The 6,000-nt window shown below is 43.7% G+C and overlaps 1 long non-coding RNA gene across 2 annotated transcripts in view; it reads right to left on the reverse strand.

The window, feature by feature from the left end:
- Nucleotides 1-5,434, reverse strand: part of LOC124906112 (uncharacterized) — a 204,201-nt gene extending 198,767 nt beyond the window's left edge. For both annotated transcript variants that reach the window (XR_007088012.1, XR_007088015.1), the window contains exon 1: nt 5,207-5,434. This is a non-coding gene — a long non-coding RNA (uncharacterized LOC124906112). The remainder of the gene's footprint in view (nt 1-5,206) is intronic.
- Between the last annotated feature and the right edge of the window lie 566 nt (nt 5,435-6,000).

Raw genomic sequence — 6,000 nt, forward strand, 5'->3', positions numbered from 1 at the left:
GATTCTCTATTTGCTGCATTTATCATTCCCTTTTCATTATTTCATCAGGGAAATGTATACTTTCATATAGGTCCAGATCACATCACATGGACGTGTTAGGGATACCAAATTTGACAACAACTCAGACTTTTGAGATTTTTAAGGAACGGTTTTTCAGTTCTGAGTGTTCCTTTTTAGCCTTCTCAAGCATTTTTCATCTGCTCCTTTTGGAGTGTGATCATGTATGAATTCCCAGCACCAAAATAGCCCATTCTAAGTGTGCATGTGTATTAGTGGTAGGTTTTGGGGGAGGGCAGTAGTGGTCAAAGCCTGGGACAGTTGGACTCCAGAGGGTCCACACCAAAGTTGCAATGTCGTGGTCATAAACCAACACGGACTTACAACCTCATAATACTTTATAAAGTTTATAAAGTTCTTTTATTGTGTGTTTTGATCCTGACAATAAAATACTAAGGTTAAAAATGGCAACCCCTCTTTACTAGTTTGATTCTAACATAATGAAGGATGCATGGAGTTACCTGAGGCTGTAAACTCTTGCAACTACAGACAATCCCCATTACAGCTAAACCAGCTAAACAGACAGAGTTACCCTTATGAAGATCGGCTTATTAAATATTTATTTGTGTAGCACTGATTTACCTTGAGCCAAAACAAAAGACTTCTCTTCTCCCCCCATTTTACGTAATTAATAGTAATAAGAGCTAACAGTCACTGAAAGTTTACCACACATCAGACACTGTTCATGTTAAATATAATCCAATCCTTACATCATCCTATGTGGTGTATACCATTATTAGCCTCGTTTTACCCATGAGGAATTTGAGATTTAAATAAGCCACGCACTCGGCTAACAGTTAGAATCAAGATTCACATATAGACAGACGAATTCAGAGGCTGCATTTCTAACCAGGAAGTGAATTATCTTCATCTTGGAAGGAAGTTTGAGATGTATTTAATTGGCAACAAACAAAGGATATGCCTTATGCTTGCTTAGGACTTTATAATTTTCACCACAGTCCAGCCCTGGAAGCTCTGAACCCTTCCAGTAACATTGTGTCCAGAGCACTGAGCTTAACAACATCTGAATGTACTCCAGCTAATGCTTTGGACATCTCAGCATACTTTCCCGTCCTTTGTCTTGTGCTGTAACAGGAAAATGTTCCATATTCTTTCAAAGAAAAAATACCCTCATGAAATCTGATTAACATTCATTCATTCATTCTCTACCACCACAACCAATGAGATTGGGTTTATGAAGGATACTTGCGACTCCAACGTTGCTAAAGACAACGGCAACTTCTCGGTTCTCACCTTGTTTAACCTCATCACTTGACATTGCTGGTCACTCCCTCCTCCTTGAAATACTGTCCTTAATAGCCTTCCAGGAAACCACACCTTCCCGGTCTTCCTCCTACCTTTTGGGCTATATAATGTTTCAGTCTCTGTTGCTTGCTCCTTTCATCTCCCCGACCTTTAAACATCAGAGTGCTTGAACCTCCTCTCTTTTCAATCATGTCCTTGGTGATCTCGACCAATCTCAAAGCTGAGTCTTATTGTATACATGTATGTCTCCAGCCTATACACCTTCTTGAGTGTCAAACTTGTGCATCCAACAGCCTGCTCTTAGATGTCTAATGGGCATCTCAAGCTTATTATGCCCAAAACTGAACTTGTGATTTTCTCTGAGTCTGTCCATTAGCAGTCCTCCATCTCGTAAGTGGCAAGTCTATTCTTTCAGCTGTTTAAGCCAATTTTACAATCATTCTCTTTCTCTCACTCATATCCAATCTATCACAATATCGCACTCTTAAAAATACATATCCTAACTACCTGTTGACTCTATTTCAAAATATTCCCAAATGTTTTACCATTCATATTGTTACCATCCTAGTCCAAGTTTCTCCCTTTGATTAGAAAAATATCCTCCTTCTTGGTCTCCATGCTCCCACCCTTGCCCCACTACAGTCCATTCTGAATGTAGCAGTTGAATTGATGCTCCATAAATCTGAGTCAGATCATCCCCCATCCCACTCAGAACTTTCCAATTTCACTCAGAGGAAAGGCCCAAATTCTTCCCATGGTCTACAAGCCCCTACACAATCTATATTTCTGCAACAGCCCCCTAACTGTTCCTGATTCATACCAGGTACACAAGGCCTTCCTTCCCATTAGGGCTTTTGCAGTTACATTTTCTCCTACCTTGAATAATCTTTCACTAGACATTGTGATGGCTCCCTTACTACCTTTAGGGTTTTGCTTAAATGTCGCCCTCTCAATATGGCCTTCTGTTCCAGTTACTTTTGTGCCATAACAAATGTCCTCAAAACTCAGTTGTTAAAAAAACAATCATTCTTATATGTTCAAGGATTCTGTGGGTTAGGAACTCAGCAAGGGCACAGTGAGAATAGCTGAGGGTGACATCACAGCTGGGAGTTGAAAACTGACTCACTCACAAGTCTAGCAATTGTGTCAGTGGATACCTCAACCAGAACACCTATATGTGGCCTCTCCATAGCTCTGTGGGCTTCCTGGCTGCATGGTGGCTGAGTTCCAAGAGTATGTCTCAAAGAGCAGCAGGCAGATGCTGTATCACCTTTTATGACCCAGCCTCAGAAGTGACACAGTATCTCTTTCACCAGAGCCATAAACGCACACAGATGGAAGGAGAGGAACAGAGAACCCCACTCCTCCCCCAACCCACCATCTAATGGGAGAAGTTTCAAAGTCACACTGTGAGGAAAGCATGTGGGATGGGTGATATCATGTTGCCATCTTTAGACATTACAATCTGGCACACCTTCCCTACTCATTTTATTTTAAGTTGCAACCACTCTCAGCCCTCAGCCTCTTCCACCTCAACACCGTCTACTCCCTTTCCTTTATTTTCCCCAGAGCATTTGTATTAGTCTCCTGTTGCTGCTGTAACAAATTATCACAAACTTAGTGGCTTCCAACAACACAAATTTATTTCCTTACAGTTCTGTAAGTTTGAAATCTGAAATCCGTTTCACTAGGCTAAAATCAAGGTGTAAACAGGGCTGCATCCCTTCTGGGCGCCATAGGGGAGAATTTGATTCCAGCCTTTCCCAGCTTCCATTGGCTTCCTGCATCCCTTGGCTGGTGGGCTTACATCACTCTTACTTCTGCTTCCATCATCACCTCTCCTTCTTATAAGGACCCTTTAGATTATGTTGGGCCCACCTGGATAATCCAGGTAAACTCTCCACCTCAAAATTCTTAACTTAGTTACATCCGTAAAGTCTCTTGTGGCAAATAAGGGAACATATTTATAGGTTCAGGGATTAGGAAGTGGACATCTTTGGGGCCCATTATTCAGCCTACCAGAGCAGTTAATCACCATTTGACACATTACATATTTTACATATTTGTTTATGTCCTGTTTAGTAGAACATAGTCTTCATCAGAGAAAAGAGTGCTCTCTTTGTTGTTGTTGTGTCCCATGAGCCTAGTAAAGTCCCTGGCATCTGTTAAAAACTCAATATATATTTGTTGAAGAATTATTTTGTCAAATAAGTGATCCATAAATATTATTGAGTGCCTACTATGTGCAGGATAATGTAGCCACACTGAAGTCTTGTTAAAACTGATTTTCCAGAGTGTTCTAAACACTCTGTACCCATAGAGAAAACCACATGTGTGATTCATCGAAATAAAAAGTCAAGGGTCTAGCCCATAACCACAATAAAAAAAAATCTTTTCCATTTCTTTTTGGACATTGTACAAAAAGTTATTGTCTCTGTCATAATAAGAGCGCAGTCTGAATCTCTGTCATCTTCCTATCCCAGTTACTCGTCCTAAATGAAAAGGGAAGACATGGGGATGGCAGAGGATTCGGACCCTGGGTCTTAATTACCTACACAGGGGTTGGGCACTGCTACTTATTTGATCTTAATTGAGCGGCCCTATGGCCCTGCTTGCGGTTTTGTTTCCATAACATTCCATGATATTTCTCCAGACAGTACACAAATAAAAATGGTTTGTGTTTCAACTGAATTTCCTGATTCTTTGTGAATCAAGCCAGATGTGTGGAAATGTCTGTGTGTGTGTGTGTGTGTGTGCGTTTAGACACTGATCCATATGCTTGCACGGATACGAATTCTGTGACCTTCTGTTCTTTCTTTTCCTTGATGATTCCTACACACAACCTCATAAGGCACATCTCATAATTAACTTGGATCTGTTTCAATCATGAATTTTTCAAAAGATCATAATCATCATGGTTTCCATGTCCATTCAGAAAACAATATAGCCGCATATGTCCATAAATGACCCGCATAGAATCTGCCCTTATCCATTTTGTTTTGGAACATGAGCCAAATTGGACTTATTTCTATTCACTTCAGATGTAATAACTTAGCCTGTTACTAAACATCACATAAAAAGCAGAATCTCAAAGCAAAAAACAGAAGCAAATACAGTTTTCTGTGTTAACTAGAGTTAGAGAATACAGGGAAAGGAAACAAAGAGTAGTTAAGAGCTTTTATTTCTCTTTAGGCTCAGTTTTCCCAGCTGTGAAGTGGGCACACTAAAATCTTTCTTGGCAACTTACTTGGCCTTTATACACTTGACTCCTTTATCCATAAAACTGATACGGTAATAATAATACCTACCCAGGAGAGGAGCTGAAAGATGAAATTAGTTTCAGATGCAAATTACTTATTTAAATGGCTGGCGCTTAGTAAACGTTCAATGTGTTGAATCCACTATTATTATTCACTCATAGAATTAGGTAAATTCTAGACATGTGACTTATATTAACTAATTGATAGCTATTTTTAAAAAACAATTTCTTAGAGCAGTTTTAGGTTCACAGCAGAATAGAGAGGAAAGTACAAAGATGTCCCATGTCCCCTCTTCCCCCACACATGCATAGGCTCCCTCATTATCCACATCCCCCACCAGAGTGGCACATTTGTTTCAATTGATAAGCCTACATTGACACATCATCACTGTATTGGGCCGTTCTTGCATGGCTATAAAGAAATATCTGAGATTGTGTCATTTATAAATAAAAGAGTTTTCATTGGCTCACAGTTCTGCAAGCTGTACAGGAAGATCTGAAAGCTTACAATCATAGCAGAAAGCAAAGCAGGAGCTTGCATATCACATGGTGAAAGCAGGAGCAAGACAGTGAGGGGGAGGAGCTACACACTTTCAAAGAAAGACCTCAGGAGAATTCACTTACTATGGTGAGGACAGTATGATGGGGGATGGTGCTGAGAGGTGACAGCGTGCTGGCTGTGGTCGCAGCCCTGGCTCGCTCTTGGCGCCTCCTCGGTCTCGGCGCCCACTCTGGCCGCGCTCGAAGAGTCCTTCAGCCCCCGGCTGCACTGTGGGAGCCCCTTTCTGGGCTGGCCAAGGCCGGAGGCGGCTCCCTCAGCTTCCCGGGACGTGTGGAGGGAGAGGCGCGGGCGGGAACCGGGGCTGCGCGCCGCGCTTGCGGGCCAGCGCCAGTTCCGGGTGGGCGTGGGCTCGGCGGGCCCGCACTCGGAGCAGCCGGCCGGCCGGCAAGCCCGGGCAGTGAGGGGCTTAGCACCTGGGCCAACTGCTGTGCTCGAATTCTCGCCGAGCCTTAGCTGCCTCCCGGCAGGGCAGGGCTCGGACCTGCAGCCCGCCATGCCTGAGACTCCCCCGCCAACCCGCTGTGGGCTCCTGCGCACGGCGAGCCTCCCCAAGAAGCGCCACCCCCTGCTCCAGGGCGCCCAGTCGCATCCACCGCCCAAGGGCTGAGGAGTGCCGGGCGCACGGCGCAGGGCTGGCAGGCAGCTCCACCTGTGACCCTGGTGCGGGATCCACTGGGTGAAGCCAGCTGGGCTCCTGAGTCTGGTGGGGACTTGGAGTGTCTTTATGTCTAGCTAAGGGATTGTAAACACACCAATCAGCACCCTGTGTCTAGCTCAGGGTTTGTGGATGCACCAATCGGCACTCTGTATCTAGCTAGTCTAGTGGGGACATGGAGAACTTTTGTGTCTAGCTCAG

This window comes from Homo sapiens, chromosome 2 (assembly GCF_000001405.40).
Source record: "Homo sapiens chromosome 2, GRCh38.p14 Primary Assembly".
Classification (NCBI taxonomy): Eukaryota; Metazoa; Chordata; class Mammalia; order Primates; family Hominidae; genus Homo; species Homo sapiens.